The 26,834-nt window shown below is 39.5% G+C and overlaps 1 long non-coding RNA gene across 1 annotated transcript in view; it reads left to right on the top strand.

Annotated features, from left to right (window-relative positions):
• LOC105373150 (uncharacterized) overlaps window positions 1-20,341 on the top strand; it is a 246,359-nt gene extending 226,018 nt beyond the window's left edge. The window contains exons 6-11 of the long non-coding RNA NR_188591.1: window positions 3,023-3,108; window positions 3,835-3,939; window positions 6,153-6,284; window positions 10,399-10,554; window positions 13,879-14,070; window positions 19,112-20,341. This is a non-coding gene — a long non-coding RNA (uncharacterized LOC105373150). The remainder of the gene's footprint in view (window positions 1-3,022; window positions 3,109-3,834; window positions 3,940-6,152; window positions 6,285-10,398; window positions 10,555-13,878; window positions 14,071-19,111) is intronic.
• Window positions 20,342-26,834: the final 6,493 nt, after the last annotated feature.

The following is a 26,834-nucleotide window of genomic DNA, read 5'->3' as shown; positions in this document are numbered from 1 at the left end:
TCTGTGGGTTAGACCTATCCTTGAAAACATGGGCTGGACTGGATGTTGCAAGTAACATTTTCTGTCAAATGGAGTTTGGCCACAGACTCCAAAGGCCTAAACAACAAATGCCAAAACCCCATATTCTAAATTCAGGTGCTGGATGATCTGGAGAGGGATTGGACCCAAATTGGTTCTGCAGGCATCGGCACATTGTTTAAGTGAGTGATATAAAAGAGCTGAGGTGGTAAAAGGAGGAAAGACTCTTTTGAGACAGTTGCCATCCTGGCATATATTTTCTCCAAACTCATGGGAGATGTAGAAAATGGCTGTCCCTATGTCTCTAGTCAAATGAAAGGGGCATGGAACTTTTGCTCCACTCTGATATAGTTTGTATATTTGTCCCTGCCCAAATCTCATGTTGAAATGTAATCCCTGATGCTGGAGGTGGGGCCTGGTGAGAGGTTTGGATCATGGGGGCGGATCCCTCATGGCTCAGTGCTGTTTTCATGATGGTGAGTTCTCCCAAGATCTGGTCATTTAAAAATGTGTGGCAGCTCTCCCCCTACTCTCTCACTTCCTCCTGCTCTTGGTATGTGACATGCCTGCTCCCACTTCTCCTTCTGTCATGATTTTAAGTTCCCGAGGCCTCCCCAGAAGCCAAGCAGATGCCAGCATCATGCTTCCTGTAAAACCTGCAGAACCACGAGACAATCAAACCTCTTTTCTTTATAAATTACTCAGTCTCAGGTATTTCTTTATAGCAATGCAAGAATGGCCTAATACAACTCAGGGCCAGCTCCAGTGATACATACTGATATGCCTTCCTTGATATAGAAAAAGTCTATCTTTCTAAAATTGGGAATCCATACTTTCTTAGTATAACTGAAATATCTTTTGTAAACCTGTTGTCTTGCTTCATTCCCAAAGTCCCAAAGGTAGACTCTTTGCTATGTATTCACTCTTTGGAAACAAAAATTTTGCTCTCTGAGAATTAAATGGCATGTTGTACAAACAGTATGACCTCAAGGATACCACAGCCAATTTTTTCAGGATACAATGCAACAGTCTGGCAGTTGAAGTGAGAACTCCTCCACACTCATTTAATAGTTCCCATATTATTATAGTTACTTAAAAAGCATGTTCACATTGGGCATCATTTATTCATGAGCCTGTTGAGGTACTTCAAAGCCAGCTTCAGGTTCCATAATCCCTTATAAGATCTCAGTAGACCCCACAGAGGCCTTTGTACTGATCCTTACAGTACATTACAGTACAAGAACATAGATGAAAATCAGCCAGGGTAAAAGGAGCATAGAGAGGAGTCCAGGAGGAAACAGGCTCAAGCTCTCCATCATCCTCTTCTGGTAGAGTCATATGCACTGCACTTAATTCTCTCAGCCAGGTGTGTGTCCACATTAGCAAAGTGTTGCCAACCAGGTAAGCTCTTCCAAGCCTTGCTGATATAGGGATGGAGCTTTCACATTCCTGATATTAGCTTCTGACTCTCTAATCTATCTAAAAAGTGAAACTGACATAGCCTGGACACAGCCCCAGTCATACAAAAATGCATTTTTACCGTAAATCTCATTGTTACCATGAATCATCTAGTGAGACCAAATCCACAGGTACACAAAGCGTTCTTATCAGACAGAAATATCAGACCTCACAGGTTACCCAGTAGGAGCTGGTCTAGGGCAAGTTCTCAAACTTTGAAAGGTGCAGGCTGTTAGCAACCCTAACCTCTTGTGTTAGAAGTTTTTATAGCACAGCTTAAAAATAGAAAAGTATTAAAATAATTACCTTTGATTGCTTTCTAATATAGCCTTGCATTAATTCTTAATTTGTCTTCTTATATTGAATAGAACTTCAGAGAAAACTTTTAAACTGGGGGCGGGGATGATAATTTTATCATTCATAAGTTAAGGGAGAAATTAAGTTCTCTGCATGTACAAAAAATTGTACATGAGAGTAAACACTATAAGAATTCATATGAATTAAAAAATATTGAAAGAGGCATACATAAAAAATTAAAAACTGTGATGAGTCCTAATGTAAACCTTTGATTCGGAAAAAAGGTACTTGTCCCCAAAAATAAATTTAAGATTTTTCTCAGAAATGATGAATACAATCTTGATATTTTCTGAAAGTGTAATATAAACTACCAAAAAACAGACAAAAGAGAAAATACTAACAAAAGTCATAGCAATAGTAATTCTTCCCAAATATTTAACCAACTGAATGTATTTTGATACTCCTCACACTGTCCGATTTCCAAATTTCTTTTTTTCACTTTTAGGACATTCTCACTCCAAATTTTATTCCAGGTGTACTTATTGGAGCTGACCAGCCTTCACATGCTGGGTTTGAGAATGCCTGGACTCTGCCCGTCAATTCTCTCCTTCTGGGGAATATGTTTGAAGGTCAGGTGACATATAACCTTTGCTGAGTCAGTGGGAGGTGTTTTCCTGAGATTTCCATTAAATTATGGGCCTTTTCCTACTGAATTTGATAACCTTGGATAAAATGAGCCTAGATCAGCATTTCTCAAATATATTGCATATTATATAATTCATAAAGGAGGTTGAAAATGCCTTTTGTCTAGGTGATACCTCAAGTCAAATTATTTTGAGTCAGACAGGCACTGTGGTTCACACCTGTAATGTCAGCACTTTGACAGGCCAAGGCAGGAAGAACATCTGAGCTCAGGAGTTTAAGACCAGCCTGGGCAACATAGTGAGACCCCGTCTCTGCTAAAAAAGAAAAAAAAAGAAAAGAAGAAAAGCCAGGTGGCATGCACCTGTAGTCCCAGCTACTCAAGAGCCTGAGGTGGGAGGTCGAGGCTGCGATGAGACCTGTCATGCCACTGCACTCCAGCCTGGGCAACAGAGCAAGACTCTCTCTCTCTCTCTCTCTCAAAAAAAATCTGTATCTCTGACAGTAGAATTTTATTTCAATTGTTTTTAAACCATCTACTGAGGATTCCATTTTGGGGGATGTATTGGAAACCAATGTTTAAAGTATGAATATTCTGACACTTTAGCAGGCATTGGGATCCGTGGAAGGCTTGTTAAATCCAAATAGATTGGTCCTACTCCATCCGCAGAGTTGCTGACGAGGTGCGTCCAGGTAAGTTGAGCTGAGATTTTACATCCTTAACAAGTATATACAGGTGATGCTTGTCGGGGATCACCTTCAGGGTACTGGGGCTGTACTCTGAGGAAAGATCTGAATATGCCAGTGAGGAGGCTGCTATCAGTGTAAAAAGAGAGACCCATGAAAAGTATTAGTTAAGTTTTGTTTTTCTAAGGATACATTTCTAAGGCAACTGAGACCTTACAGGTTACTATGGGTATGTGGGGACGTAGTAAGTTACATTTCTTGATAATGCACTGTTACTGCTTGGGGATGGCATTTTGAGAAATACTGATGTAGCTCACTCCCTGGACTGAGTCTGACCCTTGAATACTTTAGACTATGTCTCACTTTTCACAAATATAACCATCAAAGAGAACTAGCTATGTCGAGTTCCAGGATTTATACTAAGGCTGTATATTTTTATCTCACTTCAGCTTCACTTCCAGGAAAGTTATTGAAATATGCCTTATATACGAAAAAAGGGAAAAGGTGAGCAGAATAACATTCTGGAGGCTTCAGGGCCAATAGGAGAGATAGCTCATATTGGAACCTGGAAGATCTGGACTTCAAACTTCTACTATTAAGCAAGATAGGTTGCAGGTTTCAAGCCAGATGGAAGTACCAGCCCTGTGTCCTTCTGGGCAGGGAGACTTCTTTTGGAGGATGAATTGGAGCCTACAGCAGTATGCAGCCACTACTTCTTTCTGGTTGTTTCAGGCCTTCTCCTCACCTCTCAGGGAGATATACCATGCAGTGCCTTCAGTTATGGTGTTGTGACTGAGGATGCTTCGGTCAGACATGTCCCTGAAAACCTGCATAGAGGTAAATGTTAAAAGCAGCATGTTCTCTCACAGAGTTTGGCCAGTGACTGCAAAGGCCAAATCCATAAATGCCAAGAACCCCCATATTCTAAAATGAGGTGCTGGATGATCTTGCAAAGGCACTGCAGCCAAATTGGTTCTGCAATAATTGGCGTATCACTCAAGTGAGCCACATAAAATAATTAGGTGGTAAAAGGAGGAAAGGACTCTTGAGAGAGTTGCCATCGTGGCAGGCATTCTTTAAACTCAGAGGAGAGGTAGAAAGATGCCTTTTTTTGCTTCAGGCCAAGTGAAAGTGGCTTAGAAACTGCTTTCATGAAGTCCAGCTCTATTGATATTGATTGATATTGGATTTCTTGATGTATAAAGCTCTATCTTTCTAAAATTAGGAATCTACACAGTCTTACTGTAGTTGAAATACCTCTTCTAAACCTGCTGCCTTGCTTTGTTCTTGAAGGTGGATTCCTTGCTACTGCCTTGCTGTGTGGAAACAAAAAGTTTGTTCCCTGAGACTAGGATGACAGGTTGTAGAAGGAGCATGCCCTTAAGGATATCACAACAGATTTTTTTCAGAATGGAAAGGGACTCTGTTGGAGCTGCAGTGAGACTCCTTCACACACACTCAGAATTCCCATATTATTAGAGTTAGGTAGAGTAGCATGTCTACATAGCACACCTTTATTCACAGGCTTGTTGGAGTACTTCAAGGCCAGCTTCAGGCTGGATGATTTCTTAGAAGGTTTCAACTGGACTTGAAAAGACCTTTCTATTGATAGTTATAGGGTATTATAGTACAAGAACACAGGTGAAAATTATCCAGTGGAAAAGGAGCATAGGGAGGAATCCCAGAGAAACCAGGCTCAAGCTTCCAGCCATTCTCTTTCTGTGGACTCACATGTGCCGTGCTTAATTCTCCCAGCTAGTTGTGTGACTACATGTGCCAAGTGTTGCCAACTAGGTAAGCTTGCCCAATCCCTGGTCATGTAATCATGGAATGTTTGCATGAGTGGCTATAACTCCTGACTCTCCAGGCCATGTAGAAGTCAAACTGACATTGCCTGGACACAGCGCCATTCAAAACTGACATTCACCATAAATCATATGGTCAGCCTGGATCATTTGGTGTGACCATATTCTCAGGTTTACAAAGACATCCTGATCAGACAGAATATCAAAGGGTTCAGAGGTTGCCTGCCAGGAGCAGATCAAGGGCCATTCTCCAAACCTGGGAGGGTGCAGCTTTTCAGCATCCCTGGCCTTATAATTGGAAGTATTTAAAAAACAGTTCATAAATTCTTATTTTTATGTGTATCCTCATTTATTCTTTATATTTCCTTAAATGTTTTTGTTATAAATAAAAATATATTTTCAATATATATTTTCTAGTTTGGCCACTTTTTCAGCTATTTGTGTTTATTTTTAAAAGTTCCAGTTGCCTGGCTTTGCTTTTAAACACATATATTCAGAATTAATTGCATATACAAAATAGTTATCTTTGAATATTTTCTAATATTTCCATGCATTATTTCTTAACTTGTGTACTTAAATTGACTTGAATAACAGGGAAATCCTGTAAGTATTTTATGGGATAAATTTTTGGTTTATTTTATTTTGTTATTATTATACTTTAAGTTTTAGGGTACATGTGCACAATGTGCAGGTTAGTTACATATGTATACATGTGCCATGCTGGTGTGCTGCACCCATTAACTCGTCATTTAGCATTAGGTATATCTCCTAAAGCTATCCCTCCCCCCTCCCCCCACCCCACAACAGTCCCCAGAATGTGATGTTCCCCTTCCTGTGTGATAAATTTTTTATTGGAAACTTAAATGAAAAAAAGAGTCAATTCTTCTGTGCATGTAAGACCTTTACATGAGCGCATATAGAATGAGGATTTGTATTGATTAGTTATTGAAACCAGACTATTAAGAAATGATAAAATGTGACAAGTCTAGGGCAACTCTTTAAGCATAATTCGAAAAAAGTTAAATAGAATTTCCTACAAAATTAACTTCCGATTTTACTTCACAAATTGGAGGAAAGATGTATGCAACCACAATAATTCCTGAATATACAAATAGAAAAGTGTCAAATTAGATAATACGAACAGAAATATGACAATCAAAATTCTTCCTAAACAGTTAATTAATTGAATAGCTGTTGTTTGCCTTGAGCACTGTCTAATTCCCAAATTTTGTATTCCCCTTTTAGGAATCTCTTGCCCCAAGTTTCATTCCAAGTATTTAAATTGGAATTGAGCATCCTGTCATGCCAGGGATGAGAATGCCTGGGTTACATCAGTTAGCCCTCTCCTCTTGAGGAATGGCATATTACCCATTTTAGGTGAGCAGAAGGTCTTTTCCTGAGATTTGTGGGAAGAGAAGGTCACTTTCCAGTAGGCTTTGTAAATTTGGACAAGCTGGATCCAGAGCAACGTTTCTCAAACACTGCACATTAGATTGGCTAAGGGACCTTGAAAACACTTGTTATCCAGAGTTTGATAGGTCGCCTCAAATTATCAGAATGTGAATGTAAAACCTTGTTTTAGTTATTTTTAATGAATCATCTGCCATTCCATGATTGGGAAAGTATGAAAAAACATTTGTTCAAGGATTATCATCCTTACACTGCTGAGTTGGAATCCATTCAGGATTTGTTAAATCCAGATTGGTAGGTCCTACTCCACCTTCCAGTTTTGGATTGTGTAGGTCTCCAAAGGAGGGGCTGATAGCCTGCTCCAATTATGATAAGTGAGAACCGTGAAAGGTTTTAGTTTGATTTAGGTTTTTTTTTTTTAATTTAGGTTTTTTGTTTGTTTGTTTGTTTGTTTTTGGAGTAGCTTTCCAAATAACAGAGACCATAAAAGTTCCTCTGGGTTAGTGGGTACCAAAGAAGTTGCATTTCTACCAAGATCCCAGGCAATATCCCTGCTGCTGTTTGGGGATGTCATATTGTGAATCATTTTTCTAGACCACCTTCTTTCCATTGAGCACTTTAGACTGAGTCTGGCCTTTGCTTACAATAGCTAACAATGACAGATAGATAGGTTGAGTAGCAAGAGTTGTATTACATCTTTTTATTTGCCATCTCTTTTTTCAGTTTCACTGCTGTAATTCAAATATTTCTCTTCTACTGAAAAATAGAATGATAATCAGAATAAGATGACTTTTCACAGGCCTCAGAGCCAATAGGAGAATGAGCTCATATTGGAACACAGAAGAGCTGGACCCAAACCCTGTGTTCTTAAAATGGATGAGTTGGAAGTTTCAAGCCAGATGGAGGTGCCAGCGCCATGTCCTACTGGGCAGGTGAACCTCTCCTTGAGGGTGAATCAGAGCCCACAGCAGCATGCAGCCACTACTGCTTTGTGGTTCTTTCAGGCCTGTCTCCTTACTGCACAGGAAGAGTGTTCTATGCACCCACAGTGCCTATAATTTAAGGTGTAGAGAATGAAGGGGAAATGGGTCAGATACACCTCTGAAAACCTGTACTGAACTGTATGTTGAAGGCAACATGTTCTTTCACATGAGATTTTAGCCACAGACTGAACCAAAGGCCAAACCCTAAATGCCAAGAGCCCCCATATTCTAAAGTGAGGTACTGGATAATCTTGCAGAGGCACAAGACCCAAATTGATTCTGCAGGCATTGACTCAACTGCAGGCATCACTCAACCGAGTGAAATAAAAGAGTTGAGGTGGCGAAAGGAGGTAAGACTTTTTTAAAAGAGTTGCTATCATGGCAGGCTTTTTCTGTAAACATGAGAGAGAGAGAGAGAGAGAGAGAGAGAGAGAGAGAGATCTGTCTCCTTCCCTCCATTCAGGTGAAAGGAGCTTAGAAGGGGCCCTCATGAAGTCCAAATCTATTGATAGTCATTTATCTTTGCTTCATTGATAAATAAAATTTTGTCTTCTTATAATTGGGAATCTATACACTCTTAATATAGTTGAAATATCTCTTCTAAACCTGCTGCCTTTTATTTTTCCTGAAGGTGGATTCCTTGTTACTGCCCTGCTGTGTAGAAACAAAAATTTTGTTCCCTGAGACTAGGATGACAGGTTGTACAAGGAGCATGGGATCAAGGATATCACAGCAGATTTATTTCAGGATGGAAGGTGACTCTCTGGGAGTTAACATGAGCATTGTTCCACACACTTAGTAATTCCCATGTTATTAGAGTTAGGGAAAGAACTGTGTCCACATGGCACACCATTTATTCATGGGTACCTCAATGCTACCACAGGTTTGATTATTATTTTAGAGGATGTCAACACAACTTGGAAAGGCCTTTGTACTGATGCTTACAGTACATTACAGTTTAAGAACACAGATGAAAAATCACCAAGTAAAAAAGGAGCATAGGGAGGAATCCAGGAGAAACCAGGCTCAAGCTTCCAGCCACCCTCTTCCAGTGGAGTCAAGTGCACTGCACTTAATTCTCCCAGCCAGGTGTGCGGCCACCTGTGCCAAGTGTTCCCAACCAGGTAAGTTCTCTCAAGCCCTGGTCATATAAGCATGGAACTTCCACATGATGGTCTTTAAGTTCTGACTCTCTAGTTCATTTAGAAGTCAAACTGACATAGCCAGAATACAACTCCAGTCGTACAAAAACAAGCATTCACCATAATTCTCATTGTCAGCATGAACCATCTGGTGTGATTAGAGAGCCTCAGGTACCCAATGACTTTCTGATCAGACACAGTATTCTATGGGCTTAAAGGTTACCTGCCAGTGGTGGGCTTAGGGGCAGCCTTCATCCTTGGAAGGGTACAAGATTTGAACAATGTTTGTCTGCTGAATTAGGACTTTTTAAACACAGTTTTTAAATTTTTACTTTTATGCCTATGATCTTTTATTCTACATATTTTATGAAATGTTATGAAAACATAGGTATTATAAATATTTGTATTTTAACTTGGTTATTTCATAAACATTTGCATTTATTTAAATAAGTTCCAGTTGCCTGGCATTGCTTTCAAATACATGTATTCATTATTATTTACATCTCAAAAATAGGTATCTTTCATTATTTTTTAATATTGTCAGGCATTATATCTTTATTTAAATTGTCTTGAATCTGGGAAAACTTAAATATTTGGTATGATCATTTTGTGTTTTCAATCTTAAGTATATCTTGCATATACAAGAAATTTACATGAGAGTCTACAGAATAAGCATTTTTAATGATTAAGCAGATATTGAAGCCAGAATAGATAAGAAGTTGAAAAATGTGGCAATTATAATACAGCTGTTTATTTATAATTCAGAAAAAAATAAAAGGGAATTTCCTAAAAAAATCGATGATTTTTTTCACAAATAAGAATAAAGATGAATGCAACCATAATAATCCCTGAAAGTACAAGCAAAACTGTCAAAGTGGATAATACTAACAAAAACATGGCAATAATATTCTTCTCAGTTAATTTATTATATGGGTATCGGTTGCCCTGAACACCGTCCAGTTCCCAAATTTCAAGTTGCTCTTTTAGGAAATTCTCACCCCAATTTTATTCCAAGTATTTGAATTGGAGCTGACCACTCTTCATATGCCAGGAATGAGAACACCTGGGCTCCATCAATCACTCCTCTAGCCTCGTGGGGAAAGTTTTTGGAGTTGGAGTGACATATTATCCATGTGAGGTCAGCAGGAGGTCTTTTCCTGAGATTTCTGGGGAGAGAAGATTGTTTTCCAGTGAGTTTGGAAAAGTTGTGCAAGCTGGGCTTAGAGCAGTGTTTCTCAAACTTACTATACCTTAGAATCGTTAGGGAGCTTGAAAAGACCTGTTTTCCTGGTGGCACCTCACCTCATATTATTTAGAACTTCTAACAGTAAAAGTTTGTTGCAGTTGTTTTTAATGAATCGCTTGGGGGTTCCATTTTTAAGCAAATATGGAAAACCTTTGGTTCAAGGATAACTATTCTCACACTTTGGCAGACATTGGGATCCCTGGAAAGGGCTTGTTAAATCCAAATTCGTTGGTACCACTCCATCCTCCAGTTTAGGGTTATGTAGGTCTCCAAAGGAGGGGATGAGAATTTGCATCTCTAACAATTGCACAGGCGATGCTGTTCAGGGGCTACCTTTAGGGAAAAAACAGCTCTACTGTGAGGAAAGTTCTGAATATGCCAGTGAGAGCCTGCTCTGATTTTAACAAGTGAGAATCATGAAAGATTTATTTTTTATTTTTTTTAAGGGATAGCTTTTCATGTAACTGTGACCTTAAAAGTTCCTTTCAGTGAGTGGGCACCAGAAGCATTGCATTTCTACCGAGATCCCAGGCTACATCTCTGCTGCTGCTTAGGGATGACATTTTCTGAACCATTGTTCTAGCCCACTGTATTTCCTTTGGATACTTTAGACTGAGTATGACCTTTGCTTACAATAGCTAACAATGTGAGGTAAATAGGTTGAGTAACAGGATTTGTACTAATGCTTTATATTTTTCACCTCATTTCAGCTGCACTTCAAGGGAAGTTATTGAATATGTCCTATCCAACTAAAACAAGGAAATGATGAAAAAAATAAAATCACTTTCCAGAGGCCTCAGGGCTAACTGGAGACAGAGCTCAGACTGCAACTGAGAAAAGTTGGACTCCAAAACCTGTACTCTGAGGTAGGATCAATTGGAGGTTTCAAGCTAGATGGAAGAGCCAGCCTCATGTCCTTCTGGGCAGTTGAACCTCTTTTTGAGGGTAAATTGGAGCCCTGAGCAGAATGCAACCACTACTGCTTTCTAGTCATTCCAGGCCTGTCTCCTCACCTCTCAGGGAGATGTACCATGCACCCGTAGTGCTTTCAATTATAGTGTTGTGAGTGAGGGTGCTGTGGGTCAGACATTCCCTTCAAAACCTGCACTGAGCTGGATGTTGAAAGCAACATTTTCTCTCACGTGAGAGTTCAGTTAGAGACTGAAAAGGCCAACTCCATAAATGCCAAGAACCCCTATATTCTAAGGTGAGGTGTTCGATGATCTTACAGAGACCCTAGACACAAATTGGTTCTGCAAGCATTGGTGCATCACTCAAATGAGTGATGCAAACAAGCTGAGGTGGTAAAAGGAGAAAAGACTATTTTGAGAAAGTGTCCGCATGTTCCATATTTTCTCTAAACTCAGGCAAGAGGGAGATAGCTGTCTGCTTTCTTCCAGCCAGGTGAAAGTGCTCCTATGAAGTCCAGCTCTATTGATACCAATTGATATTGGCTTATTTGAGATATAAAACTCTATCTTTCTGAAGTAGTGAATCCACACTCTCTTAATATAGTTGAAATATCCTTTCTAACCCTGCTGCTTTGCTTTGTTGCCCAAGGTAAATTCCTTGCTGCTGCCCTGCTGTGTGGAAACAAAATTTTGTTCTCCGATGGCAGGTTGTAGAAGGAATATGAGCTCAGGAATATCACAGCAGATTTATTTCAGGATGGAAGGTGACTTTCTGGGTTTTAAGTGAGAACTCCTCCACACACACTCAGTAATCCCCTTGTTATTGGAGTTAGCTAAAGGAGGGCATACCATTTATCAGTGGGCCTGCTGGTGTACTTTAAGGCCAGCCTCAGGTTCCATGGTTCGTTAGAGGGCCTCGACATAACTCAAAAAGGCCATTCTACTGGTGCTTACAGTATATTGCAGTACAAGAACAGAGATGAAAATTAGCCAGTGGAAACAGAGCACAGGGCTGAGTCCAAGAAACTTTAGGGTCAAGTTTCCAGCCATCCTCTTCCAGTGGAGTCACATGCATTGTGCTTATTTCTCCCAGCCAGGTGTGTGACCACCTGTGCCAAGTGTTGCCAACTAGATAAGCACTCCCGAGCACTGGTCATGTAAGCATGGAATGTCCACATAATTATCTTTAGCTTTTGACCATCTTGATGTCTAACTGACATAACTTGGCCACTGCTTCATTCATATAAAAATAGACATGCACCATAATTCTCATTGTTAGTATGAACCATCTGGTGTATCCAAAGCCTCAGATGGATGAAAACTTTCTAATCAGACAAATTTCAAAGGCTCAGGGCCTTCCTTTTAGGAGCCAGTGAAGGGCCAGTCTTCAACTTTTGAATGATACAGTCTTTCACCAACTCTGACCTGTTGCATTACAACCTTTACAGCACAGTTTATAAAGGGATAACTATTAGAATATTTAATTTTGATTACTTTCTAATAGAACCATGCATTAGTTCTTAGTTTGTCTACTTAAATGATTTTGGGAATTTCTGAGTAATCTTTTAAATTTGTGGGATGATGATTTTTTCATTGCTTAAGTGAGAAAAGAGTCAAACCTTCTGCATATACATCAAATATTACAAATTTTAGATTAACCAAAATAAACATGTGTTTATATTAAAATGTTACCAGCATATTTAAGTAGTTGACCATTGTGAGAATTACTAATGTAACTCTATATTGATAATTCAGAAAAACAAAAAGGAAATTTTCCTAGAAAACAATTTAGGATTGGCTGGGTGCAGTGGCTCACGCCTGTAATCCCAGCACTTTGAGAGGCTGAGGCGGGCGGATCACGAGGTCAGGAGATCGAGACCATCCTGGCGAACACAGTGAAACCCCATCTCTACTAAAAATACAAAAAAGAAATTAGCTGGGCGTGGTGGTGGGCACCTGTAGTCCCAGCTACTCGGGAGGCTGAGGCAGGAGAATGGCGTGAACCCGGAGGGTGGAGCTTGCAGTGAGCTGAGATTGTGCCACTGCACTCCAGCCTGGGAGACAGCGAGACTCTGTCTCAAAAAAAAAAAAATTAGTATTTACTGCATGAATTAAAGAAAAGGCCAATACAACCTTTAATAATTCCTGAAAAAAATATGCTTAAAAAACTGTCAAACTAGAAAATACTAACAAAAAACATACTGTAAAAATTCTTCCCAAAGTATTAAGTAATCTAATGTAACTGTTGTTTGCTCTTCACACTGTCCAACTTTGAAATTTCTATTCCCCTTTCAGGAAACTCTCACACCACCTTCCACCCCCAGTTTCATTCCAAGTATTTTAATTGCAGCTATCCACTCCTCATATGCCAAGGGTGAGAGTGCCTGGGCGTCATCAGTGAATTTTCTACTCTCCTGGGGAAAGTGTGTCAAGTTGGGGTGACATATAATCCATGTTAGGGCAATGGAAGGTATTTTCTTGGGATTTCTTAGAAGGCAAAAACTTTTCCACTGCGTTTGGTAATGTTGGGCAAGATGAACCTAAAGCAGTGTTTCTCAAAATTATTGCACATTGGACCCCCTAAAGGGGCTTGAAAACACGTGTTGTTTAGTTGTCACCTCATCTCAAATTATTTAGAATCTCTTATAATAAAACCTTGTTTCTGAAGTTTTAAAATTATCTGGTGAGGATTCTATTTTCAAGGAAATATGGAAAACCATTGGTTCAAAGATTATCATCCTCACCCTTTGGAAACATTGGGATTCCTGGAGCAATTCTTAAATCCACACTGCTAGGCCTCCAACCTTAAAGTTCAGATTATGTAGATTTGGATAGGTGCGGCTGATAATTTGCAAAGCTACCAAGTGCACAGGTGATGCTGATCAGGGGCCATCCTCAGGGAACAACAGCCCTAAGTTCAGGACAGACCTGAGTATGCCAGTGCGGAGGCTGCTCTGCTGAGTGAGAACCATAAAAAGTTTTAGGTTTTTTTTTCTTTTTGTCTTTCTTGAGGATAGAGTTCTCAGATCTTAAAAGTTGAGATCCTAAAGGTGGCTCTGGGTGGGCATCTGGGAAGTTGCATTTCTATGCAGATCCTAGGCTGTAGTACTGCTGCTGCTTGGGGATGACATTTTGTGAACCACTGCTCTAGCCCCACCTTCTGTTTTGTGAACACTTTAGACTGAGTCTGACCTTTGCTTACTGTAGCTAACACTGAGAGCTGACCTTGTCAAGTAGCAGGAGTTGTACTAAAGCTTTATATTTGTCATCTCATTTCAGCTTTACTGCATGAGAAAGTTATTGAAATGTGCCTTGTGACATTCAGAATAAGTGACTTTTCAGAGGTCTCAGAGTCAGTAAGAGACAGAACTCAGATTGTAACCAAGAAGAGCTGAACTCCAAACTTCTGTGTCCGGAATTGGTGGGTTCTTGGTCTCACTGACTTCAAGAATGAAGCGGCAGACCCTCGCGGTGAGTGTTACAGCTCTTAAGGTGGCGCGTCTGGAGTTTGTTCTTTCTGATGTTCGGATGTGTTCGGAATTTCTTCCTTCTGGTGGGTTCGTGGTCTCGCTGGCTCAGGAGTGAAGCTGCAGATCTTCGCAGTGAGTGTTACAGCTCTTAAGGCGGCGCGTCTGGAGTTGTTCATTCTTCCCGGTGGGCTTGTGGTCTCGCTGGCTTCAGGAGTGAAGCTGCAGACTTTCGTGGTGAGTGTTACAGCTCATAAAAGCAGTGTGGACCCAAAGAGTGGGCAGCAGCAAGATTTATTGCAAAGAGCGAAAGAACAAAGCTTCCACAGTGTGGAAGGGGACCCGAGTGGGTTGCCACTACTGGCTCGGGCAGCCTGCTTTTATTCTCTTATCTAGCCCCACCCACATCCCACTGATTGGTAAAGCCAAGTGGTCTGTTTTGACAGGGTGCTGATTGGTGGGTTTACAATCCCTGAGCTAGATATAAAGGTTCTCCACGTCCCCATCAGATTAGTTAGATACAGAGTATGGACACAAAGGTTCTCCAAGGCCCCACCAGAGCAGCTAGATACAGAGTGTCGATTGGTGCATTCGCAAACCTTGAGCTAAACACAGGGTGCTGATTGGTGTGTTTACAAACCTTGAGCTGGATACAGAGTGTCGATTGGTGTATTTACAATCCCTGAGCTAGACATAAAGGTTCTCCAAGGCCCCACCAGAGCAGCTAGTCACAGAGTGTCGATTGGTGCACTCACAAACCCTAAGCTAGACACAGAGTGCCGATTGGTGTATTTACAATCCTTGAGCTAGACATAAAGGTTCTCCAAGGCCCCACCAGAGCAGCTAGATACAGAGTGTTGATTGGTGCACTCGCAAACCTTGAACTAAACACAGGGTGCTGATTGGTGTGTTTACAAACCTTGAGCTAGATACAGAGTGCCGATTGGTGTATTTACAATCCCTGAGCTAGACATAAAGGTTCTCCAAGGCCCCACCAGAGCAGCTAGATACAGAGTGTCGATTGGTGCACTCGCAAACCTTGAGCTAAACACAGGGTGCTGATTGGTGTGTTTACAAACCTTGAGCTAGATACAGAGTGCTGATTGGTGTATTTACAATCCCTGAGCTAGACATAAAGGTTCTCCAAGGCCCCACCAGAGCAGCTAGATACAGAGTGTCGATTGGTGCACTCACAAACCTTGAGCTAAACACAGGGTGCTGATTGGTGTGTTTACAAACCTTGAGCTAGATACAGAGTGTCGATTGGTGTATTTACAATCCCTGAGCTAGACATAAAGGTTCTCCAAGGCCCCACCAGAGCAGCTAGATACAGAGTGTTGATTGGTGCACTCACAAACCCTGAGCTAGACACAGGGTGCTGATTGGTGTGTTTACAATCCCTGAGCTAGATGTAAAGACTCTCCATGTCCCCACCAGACTCAGGAGCCCAGCTGGCTTCACCCAGTGGATCCCGCACTGGGGCTGCAGGTGGAGCTGCCTGCCAGTCCCACGCCGTGCACTCGTACTCCTCAGCGCTTGGGCGGTCGATGGGACTGGGCACCGTGGAGCAGGGGGCGGCATTCGTCGGGGAGGCTCGGGCTGCACAGGAACCCATGGAGGCGGGGGAAGGCTCAGGCATGGCAGGCTGCAGTCCGGAGGCCTGCCCCATGGGAAGGCAGCTAAGGCTTGGCGAGAAATCAAGCGCAGCACCGGTGGGCTGGCACTGCTGGGGGACCCAGTACACCCTCTGCAGCCGCTGGCCCGGGTGCCAAGTCCCTCACTGCCTGGGGCCGGCAGGGCCGGCTGGCTGCTCCGAGTGCAGGCCCGCCAAGCCCATGCCCACCCGGAACTCCAGCTGGCCCGCAAGCCCTGCACGCAGCCCCGGTTCCCGCTCGCGCCTCTCCCTCCACACCTCCCTGTAAGCTGAGGGAGCCGGCTCTGGCCTTGGCCAGCCCAGAAAGGGGCTCCCACAGTGTAGCGGTGGGCTGAAGGGCTCCTCAAGTGCCGCCAAAGTGGGAGCCCAGGCAGAGGAGGCGCCAAGAGTGAGTGAGGTCTGTGAGGACTGCCAGCACGCTGTCACCTCTCACTTCTACTCTTTAGAAGGATGAGTTGGAGGTTTCAAGCAAGATGCAAGTGTCAGCTCCATATCCTTCAGGGCAGATAAACCTCTCATTGAGGGTGATTGTGACCCCACAGCAGTATGCAGCCACTACTGCTTTGTGGTTGCTTCAGGCCTGTCTCCTCACCTCTCTGGGAGGCTGTAACATGCAACTATTATGCCTATAACTAAAGGTGTTGTGTTGTGAGTGAGGGTGCTATGGGTCAGACATATCCCTGAAAACCAGCATTGAACTGGATGTTGGAAGCAATGTTTTCTCTGATGTGAGCATTCCAAAAGCCAAAACTACAGATGCCAAGAATTGCCCCCACCCCAACAACACACATATTTTAAAGTGAGGTGCTGGATGATCTTGCAGAGGCACTGGACTCAAATTTGTTCCGCAGTTGTTGGTCCAAGGCTCGTCTGAATGAATTAAAATATTTGAGGTGGTTAAAGGAGGGAAGACAATTTGAAATTGTTATTGTCGCCGCCATTTTCTCCAATCTCATGAGAAAAGAAGAAGGTTGTGTTATCCTTGACTCAAACTAAATGCAAGGAGGCTTAGAATGATTTCCCCCATCAAAATTAGCATGGCAGTAAATTCATGGCATATACAGTGAGTAGACCTTGAGCCTCTAAAATAACCGAGGCTCCTGAGAAGATTATCCACTTGTCCAAAGATACCTGCTTAAGTGTTGGGTCCAATACCTTACCAGAGATTTCCACTGTAATAGTATTCTCTGAGAACAAGGAGGTCACAAACCTAGAGAGAGCTGAAGGAAGTCTTGCGTGTGGGAGTTTCTGCATGCACACTCAATGCTCATAAAATGATGGGAGTAAGTCACTGCTTTGGAGTTTCAGAAACTTCATTGGTGAAGAGAGGATTTTCTTATATCAAAAATGCTCCGTAAGTGCTGTCTTACATACAATTTTGGTGGTTTTCAAATGTTAGTATGCATCATAATCACCTTCAAAACTAGTTTAAATAGAGGTCGTTGGAACCCTCCTCTACCCCCAGATTTATTAATTCAATATCTCTGGGCTAAGGCCTGGGAATTTGCATTTCTAACTCGTGCATAGGTGATGTTGATGCTGCTAGTTTGGGGAACACACTTTGAAAACCACTGAGTGAGCATCTAGGGCTCTCATTTAAAGGCAGATTATCTGAGAATTAAACAAATTTCCTTATTTATTTTTATTTGTGTAAATTTAGGGGGTACAAGTACAGTTTTGATACATGGATATATTGCACAGTAGTGAAGTCTGGGCTTTTAGTGTAACCATCACTGAATAGTGTACAGTGTACCCATTAAATAATTTCTCAACCTTCACATACGTCCCACCTTCCCACCCTTCCAAGGCTCCAGTGTCTATTATTCCACACTCTGTGTAAATGTGTACACATTATTTAGCTCTCACTTGTAAGTGACAACATGCAGTGTTTGGCTTTCTGTTTCTGAGTTATTTCACTTAAGATAATGCCCTGCAGTTCATTCATGTTGCTGCAAAACATGTGATTTCATTTTTTATGGCTGAATACTATTCTATTGTGCATATATACTACATTTTCTTTATACCGTCATCCCTTGATGGACACTTAGGTGAGACCATATCTTTGCTATGGTGAATAGTGCTGTAGTAAACATAATGAGTGCAGGTATCTTTTTGATATAATAATTTATTTTATTTTGGGTAGAAACCAACACATTTAAATTGGGTACCTAGAGATTCTTTAAAAACATGCAGAAATAGAGATTCTTGATGACATGCTTTGAGTTTCTGGAGTCAGGAAAGAAAGAACAGCAGGAAACTCACCATGTATATTTTATTTTATATTTAAATTAAGTTTAATTAAATTCTGCCTTCCTTTGGATACTTTCAGTTGAAATTCAGTTATTTTACATAATTTAAAATTTAAGTAATTCAATTCAAAGTGAAAACATTGAAAGGGAAGCAGAATTTTAAATGAAAAATAGTTAAAGTGCATGTATTCTTATATGAAATTAGAATTACCATTAAATTAATAAGTTGATCATACAACCAAAATCATACAAAAACTCTATAATTTGTTTTAACTCTTCAGTCATTAGGAAATGCTAAAATTTTGATTGTTTAGAAAAAAATCATGGAAATACATAGTTTGGCAGCAATTTTCAGAAAGATTCAAAATTTTGCAGAAGATAAATTAATCTGTTAAAAATAAGTCTGAATCATATGCTTAGTTTCTGAAAGTCAATATATATTAATAATGCATATGCAAACTTACAAAATGTTTTAAAAAGATAGGTTAAAATTATATTATATTTGAAATCTAAAATATTTCAAAAAGAAGATATACCAGAAATACAATTTGAGAAGAAAACAAGCAAATACATACATATATATCCTATATTTTTTTGTCATGGAAAAATATTTCTTTTAAGTATATTTAATACTCAGAAAATGTTTTTCATTTTCAGATACTAATATCGGACATGAACCTTGTTCTCATAGCCATTTTGTTATGCCTTTATATTTGGTCATTGGTTTTATAGAACTTGATAATTTGGCAAAGTAAGCTTTTGTAAATTGGTCTTTCAGTTAATTACTTGTTTTGAAAATTCAGTTTCAGCACTGGTTTTTAGGAAGTTGTGCTAAAGATGGACTCTAGCGGACTTCATTACTTTTAACTGCTCAGAGTCACTGGCATTGTTTTGTTAATTTGCATTGCACTTTTTTGGGGGGAATTGCCCTTCCTGCAGCCTCAATTGATGAGGTTTATGTGAAGATAATTTCATCGCTAGCTCCACTGTGGCTGTACAAGAGTGCCATATTCAGATACCTGATGGATTGATGTTGGCTTCATTGATATGTTAATCTCTATTTTAAAAAAATATTTTGAATGGCAACTCTATCAACATAGTAGAAATATCTCTTCTAAATCTGCTACCTTGCTTTCTTTCAGCATTTCAGTTCCTTGGTGCTCCTTGGATTTGAGGAAATTCCAATATTTCCTTTGGAGTCACATGGATACTGCCTAATTTTCCCAGCAGGGATGTATGAAAACACATGCTTGTTTTCAAGTGAAGATAATCCCATCACCAATTCTGCTTTAGCTGCATAAAGAAAGCTGATCAAAAACATGCCTGGTGGATTTATTGTTATTGGTTCTGTTGATAAATAACCTATTTTTATATATTAGGACCCTTTTTTCTATAAACATAGTTGAAATATTTCCTAAGTCTCCTGCCTTGCATTATTCTAGCAGGTTGTTCCCTTATTACTGTCCTGATTAGTGGTACTTCTGATATTATTCTTCTGAATGCTATGTTGAAGCTTTTAGAAATGTGAAATAAGGGGCCAAAACTTTCTGGTGTCATGGGCTTGGTAACTAAACAGGTCTTTGTTTTGGGTTCTAGATGACTATCTGGAAAATGCGGCCAAGGGCTCTTCTCACAACCAGTCAGCAAATCCATTATCTGAGTTGGTTAAAGAGTGCTTTTGGCAGTTTTGGAAATCTTCTAAACCCATCAGATTCCTGAAAAAAAAAAAATTTTAATCCACTGTTATTGAAGTTTTCTACTTTATATAGCTCAGCATAATCTCAGCTTAGGATCCTTAATATAAGTAACACTTACTTGAATTACCCAGGTGGTTTTCTGACTTTATATCAATCATAACCTACTGTAATCATACACAGAAAAATGGTGTTTCAGCCAATGATAAACCACATGTACAAAGGTGGTCCCAGAAGATTACAATGAAATGTATATAAAAACCTAATATATGACACTTGATATTGACAGGTCAAATCAAGTAGGGGAAATGATTGACATTCAGTAATGGTTCTGGGGCATTTGGCTTTCCTTATGAAAAAATATATATAAATATAAATATATATATATATATATATATATACCATCTATGTTTGTGTAAGTTTGTGTACACTCTACGATGCAAACATAAGGATGAAACCACCTAATGGTGCATTTCCCAGAACGTGTCCCCATCATTAAGCAATACATAATTGTATTTACATTAGTAAATTTTCTTTTTTTGTGAAACCAAATGCACAAGTGATTAAATAAAATGGATAAATTGGACTTAATAAAATTAAAACTATTTGTTTCAATGACACCATCAAGAAAATAAAAAGACATCTCACAAGCTGAAATAAAATGTTTACAATATCCCACACTTTTGAACTTTCATTTTATTTAGTCACAGAAGTCTGCTGAACCCAGGAAGTCATAGACTAGCTTGTGTCTCCCCACAAAATTCATATATTGAAACCTTAATCCTCAGTGTGACTGTATTTGGAGATAAGACCTTTAAGGGGGTCAATAAGGTTAAATGAGGTCATAATGGTGGGGCCCCTAAACCTACAGGACTGGTAGCCATATAAGAAGAGACACCAGGGATTTCTCTTTCTCTCCATGTGTGCACAAAAGAAAGGCTAAGTGAGGACACAGGAGGTGGCCTTCTACAAACCAGGACCAGAGGCTTCACCAGGAACCAACCCTGCCAGCACCTTGATTTTGGATTTCCAGCCTCCAGAACTGTGAAAAAATATATTTCTGTTGTTTAAACCACTCAGTCTGTGGTATTTTGTTATGGCAGCCTGAGCAGACTAATACATGGGACAATACTTGATATAGCTGACTAAGCCAGAAATGGAAAGTCATCAATGATAGCCCACCCCAACACTAGACAAATTATTAATGGATCTTTAAAATTTATGTGAACTCTTCCTTCTAATCAATAGTCTCTTTATGAACTTTGCTCCATCATGCTAATGTTTCCACAGTAAAGGCCACCTTTGCCTTTCATTTGCATTTCTAACACACATTCATGTCTGCTGTCCTACATTGATCTTATCTACTACCCCAACAACCAAATAAGCCCAATACATTCCTCACACTGTAGTTTCAATAATCACTTTAAAATGAAAATCTGATTGCATTAATACTCTGCTTCAAAGTCTTTATCGACTCATCCAGCTTATTATCTGCCTTTTCTCAACTCCCTAAATATATTTGCACCATCTACCTATGGGACTCAGCTACATTAAATGAAACAAGCATAGTAAATAGAACTTAAATGAACAATTGTCATAAGTGGTGATGCTAAAATATGCAGAATGCAATCCGGAAAGCAGAACTACTTAATTTCAGAGTTAAATTGTTTGAATACAAGATGGTTCAGGATGCCCATATGCTGATGTGAATGAAGGGTATCTAGATTTTTGTTTTTATTCTGTAGCCTTCTTAAGGCAGGATATGATTCTTAGTCATATCCACATCACTGGCTTCTAAAACGAAGTCTGTCTCAATAAATGCACTTATTAATAAACATTAAGGAGTTGACATTTCCACTAGGAAAACACCTAGAAAATTCCAGGGCATAGCCAAGAGAAGGGTGAAAAGACTGACTCCTTTTCTCATAAGAAATGGGAGAAACTTTTTTTTTCTTCCTAAACTCATGATTTCAGCAAAGCTAGTCCTCATTAATACATGTTTTTCAAATTCCTATGTTCTCATTTCAGTGTTTTGACATTTCTTAAATTTAATTTTCCTTTATTTACAATTATGCTTCTTTCTCCTAAACTAGTGACCCCTAGGTGAGTGGGACTAAGTTATCTGAGAACCTCTTCTCCAGAATTCAGCACTTAGGTGATTATTGCATGTTTATAGAACAAGATGCAAAGAAAGTAAAATTTCCAGTAATGTTTATTACATCACAGGTAAAGATTTCTGTTCAGTGACAGTAACCATGGACACAGTTTTTGAGGAATGATTGAACAGATGATATTTGTAATGTCTAAAATAGACGAGTAATTAGTATTTAAATTATATAAGAAACTGCTACAAATCAACAAGAAAAACACATAATCTCTAATAGATACATGAGCAATTTACAGAACAGGAAATTTAGAAAGTGAATATAGCATTTATAAAACTGCTCAAAATTACAGCTAATCACAAAAATGTTAATTAAAACAACAACAAATTAATAGTCCCTTGTAATAATATTAGATTGGCAACATTTGGAAAGCTGGATAATGCCAGATTTGGCAGTTGGGGGAGAAAGCGGAGGTATCATGTTTTGGTGATACAACCAATTCTGGAGAGCAATAATATACTACATGACCAAATTAAATGTGACCTGGGAATGTTTTTTTCAATGTACCAAATATGACTTTCAAATGGATGGGTTTCACATAAGAATACCAAAATTCTGTATTATTTTGTCTATATGTATACAAAATGAATCAGAATTTTAATAGAAACCATAAACATTTGTATGTGCAGGCATGTATATCTTGTATTTTCATTGTGATTATTGTTAGTCAGGGGACAATTTTCTGTGTTATCTATAAAAACCAACATATCTGTTAGCTTCTAGAGGTCTATCTCTTAGAGTTTTAAAAATCATCTTTGTGAAAGGTACTGCTGCTTTAAGTATTCAGTTTGTTGGTCCAGATTTTGCCTCTGAGCTTTCCAAGGTATTAGGGGGTGACTACATTGCTTTGTGGAGAGAAGAGTTCTGGCTCTGCTCAGAACATTTTCTGTCACAGCTTCCATGACCTACAAAAACACTTACTCCTGAATAAATATGCATTTAACAAGTCTAGCCTAATGCACTCTAATGGCCACTGCTGAACTCTGAATCGTGGTCACAGCTAGAGAAAACATCTACCAGAGAGCACAGACAGAGTGACTACAAAAATATCATCTTGGGACCAGTGAAACCATCTGTCATGAAGTTCTTCCCACTAGACTCAAGTCCGAACTGATATGTAGCGAGACAAAAGAATAGAATCAAAGAATTTATTCTTTATAGGCCATGCAAATGATGGACGTACAGTAGAAAAAAATATATTTGGTCATTGTTACTTATGTTGACTCAAATTCAGTGATTCTCAACCAGGACAATTTTTCTCCTCAAGAGACATTTAGCAATATCTGAAGACATTTTTAGTTGCCTCAACTAGCTGTGAGGGTGCTACTGGCTTCTAGCTGGTAGAGTCCAGGATGCTGTTAACATCCTACAACACACAGGACAGCCCCCCACAACAAAGAATTATCTAGCCTAATATGTCAATAGTGAGAAAGTTGAGAAACCCTACCCTGAGCTAAAAGTTTAAGTAAATCAAATGTGTCCTGAGCACTCTCACAGCCCTGAATGGCAACCTTCACCTCCTTTGTATAATATTTCCCTGGAATGCTCTTCTAAAGATATTCAAATGGTTCCCTCCCTCTCCTCTTTCAGGTTTTAATTCAAATAAGATCTTCCCAGTAAGACCTTCTTTAACTTATTAATAATGAAATCCTTATCTCACCCCTCAAAACTCCCTACTAATCTCCTTTGCCTCATTTTACTCCACGTACTTATCAACATATGGAATATGACTTATTTGTTTTATTTTCTGGATAGCTTTCTTACAATTTAATCACCATTTGTTGTTGCTGGACCCCCAGTGATGAAAGGAATGCCTGACGCATGATAGGTGCTTAATAATTTATTGGTGAACAAATTAATGAACTCAGTACTAAGAATCTTAAAGAAGAATTCAAATACAGATGTGACACCTTTTTCAGGTTATAGTGTGCAGTTTTATCAAGTCCTGAGTTAGTATTGATCAAAGCATGAGTTTACCCCTGCTCTGTAACAAAGACCAAGGAAAATGGGATGCTCCTCCAGGCTTACTGTGAAGATTCTGAGAAAAGAAATCAAATATTTGTTCAGATTCAAGTGACATGTTCTATTAAATTTCTTTCAGTTATTACCACCTAAGAGAGCACCTAAAGTTAACTAAATAAAAGAAAATCTGATTTTATTTTTCAGGGGTTGTTTTTTGCCAGAGAAAGCTGATGTCTGGCAAGCTGGAGTCTGTAATTATGTAACTATGATAGTGATTTTCCTATTCCAAGTCCACACTCATGTACCACTCTCTCAGGTACACTTATGGAAAGAAATGGACTAAAAAAATTCCCTTGCTGGGCATAAGGGTGATGGTGGGTACTAAGAACCCTCTCTACTTGTATACTTTATCATTCTTTTTTAAAAAGTTAAATTTTTGACCAGATGCCGTGGCTCACGCCTGTAATTCCAGCACTTTGGGAGGCCGAGGCGGGCGGATCACCTGAGGTCGGGAGTTCAAGACCAGCCTGACCAACATGGAGAAACCCTGTCTCTAATAAAAATACAAAATTAACTGGGCGTGGTGGTGCATGCCTGTAATCCCAGCTACTCTGGAGGCTGAGGCAGGAGAATCGCTTGAACTAGGGAGGCAGAGGTTGCGGTGAGCCAAGATTGCGCCATTGCACTCCAGCCTGGGCAACAAGAGTGAAACTCGGTATCAAAAAAAAAAAGTCAATTTTTAAAAAATTTGTATGGATTTCAGAGGTACAAGTGCACATATACAACATATCCATTTTGTTACATGGATATATTGTATAATAATGAAGTCTGAAATTCTAGTGTAACTATCGCCTGAACAGTGTACATTGTACCACCCATTAAGTAATTTCTAATCCTTCATCTACCTCCCACCCTCCCACTTTTTGAGTCTCCAATTTCTATTATTCCACATTCTACGTTCATGTGTACACATTGTTTCATTCCCGCTTGTAAGTGAAAACATGCAGTATTTGACTTTCTGCTTCTGAGTTATTTCACTTAAAATAATGTCCTCCAGTTCCATTCCTGTTATTACAAAAGACATGATTTCATTATTTTTTATGTCAGCCATTACCGTTCTTATCCATAAATTAATTGTATATACTTGGAAACAGTAACCACTATATGCTAATCCCCTTTACTCTTTTTCAAAATAAAATTACTTTCTTCTAGGGTTCTTATGGTTTTAGGTCTAACGTTTAATTCTTTATTCCATCTTGAATTAATTTTTGTATAAGGTGTAAGGAAGGGACCCAGTTTCAGCTTTCTACATATGGCTAGCCAGTTTTCCCAACACCATTTATTAAATAGGGAATCCTTTCCCCATTGCTTGTTTTTCTCAGGTTTGTCAAAGATCGGATAGTTGTAGATATGTGGCGTTATTTCTGAGGGCTCTGTTTTGTTCCATTGATCTATATCTCTGTTTTGGTACCGGTACCATGCTGTTTTGGTTACTGTAGCCTTGTAGTATAGTTTGAAGTCAGGTAGCATGATGCCTCCAGCTTTGTTCTTTTGGCTTAGGTTTGTCTTGGCAATGCGGGCTCTTTTTTGGTTCCATATGAACTTTAAAGTAGTTTTTTCCAATTCTGTGAAGAAAGTCATTGGTAGCTTGATGGGGATGGCATTGAATCTATAAATTACCTTGGGCAGTACGGCCATTTTCATGATATTGATTCTTCCTATCCATGAGCATGGAATGTTCTTCCATTTGTTTGTGTCCTCTTTTATTTCATTGAGCAGTGGTTTGTAGTTCTCCTTGAAGAGGTCCTTCACATCCCTTTTAAGTTGGATTCCTAGGTATTTTATTCTCTTTGAAGCAATTGTGAATGGGAGTTCACTCATGATTTGGCTCTCTCTGTTTGTCTGTTATTAGTGTATAGGAATGCTTGTGATTTTTGTGCATTGATTTTGTATCCTGAGACTTTGCTGAAGTTGCTTATCAGCTTAAGGAGATTTTGGGCTGAGACAATGGGGTTTTCTAAATATACAATCATGTCATCTGCAAGCAGGGACAATTTGACTTCCTCTTTTCCTAATTGAATACCCTTTATTTCTTTCTTCTGCCTGATTGCCCTGTTCAGAACTTCCAACACTATGTTGAATAGGAGTGGTGAGAGAGGGCATCCCTGTCTTGTGCCCGTTTTCAAAGGGAATGCTTCCAGTTTTTGTCCATTCAGTATGATATTGGCTATGGGTCTGTCATAAATAGCTCTTATTATTTTGAGATACATCCCATCAATACCTAATTTATTGAGAGTTTTTAGCATGAAGTGTTGTTGAATTTTGTCCAAGGCCTTTTCTGCATCTATTGAGATAATCATGTGGTTTTTGTATTTGGTTCTCTTTATATGATGGATTACATTTATTGATTTGTGTGTGTTGAACCAGCCTTGCATCCCGGGGATGAAGCCCACTTGATCATGCTGGATAAGCTTTTTGATGTGCTGCCGGATTTGGTTTGCCAGTATTTTATTGAGGATTTTTGCATCGATGTTGATCAGGGATATTTCTTACTTTAGATGTGATATTTCAATGTGCCCTAGATGACTGGAAATCTAGTAAATTTAGTGGTGTGACCCATGAACTTTCCAAGGATTATATGTTCATATTTTGGCATCCAGGGCTCTGGCTACTTCCTGGCCACCCAGGTTCAATTAGCTTAATCAGTGTAATAACCAGAGTGATGGTTTGTGGGACATGAATAAAATTACAGTCCCTGTGCATTATATTTCAAGCAAGTGCATAAGGGTTTATATGATCCTTATAGAAGACAGAATGTGTACTGCTTCTCTTGCCCCAAAAAAAGCAAACAACTTTGGATTTTATTTACTAATTTGCACTGAAAAGGAAGTGTTTGCTAGATTAGTAACTCTGTACCAGTTGCCAGTATCAATGTCAATATGTTCTAGTAAAAATACCTTAATTGGAGCAACAGCTGGCATCACCCTATGATTAAATTTATAATGATTTACAGTCGTTCCTTGAGACTCATGTGTCTTCTGCAC

The sequence above is a fragment of the Homo sapiens genome, chromosome X (assembly GCF_000001405.40).
Source record: "Homo sapiens chromosome X, GRCh38.p14 Primary Assembly".
Lineage (NCBI taxonomy): Eukaryota > Metazoa > Chordata > Mammalia > Primates > Hominidae > Homo > Homo sapiens.
Note: the sequence above shows the minus strand (reverse complement) of the source record. Positions and strands in the feature narration are given on the sequence as shown.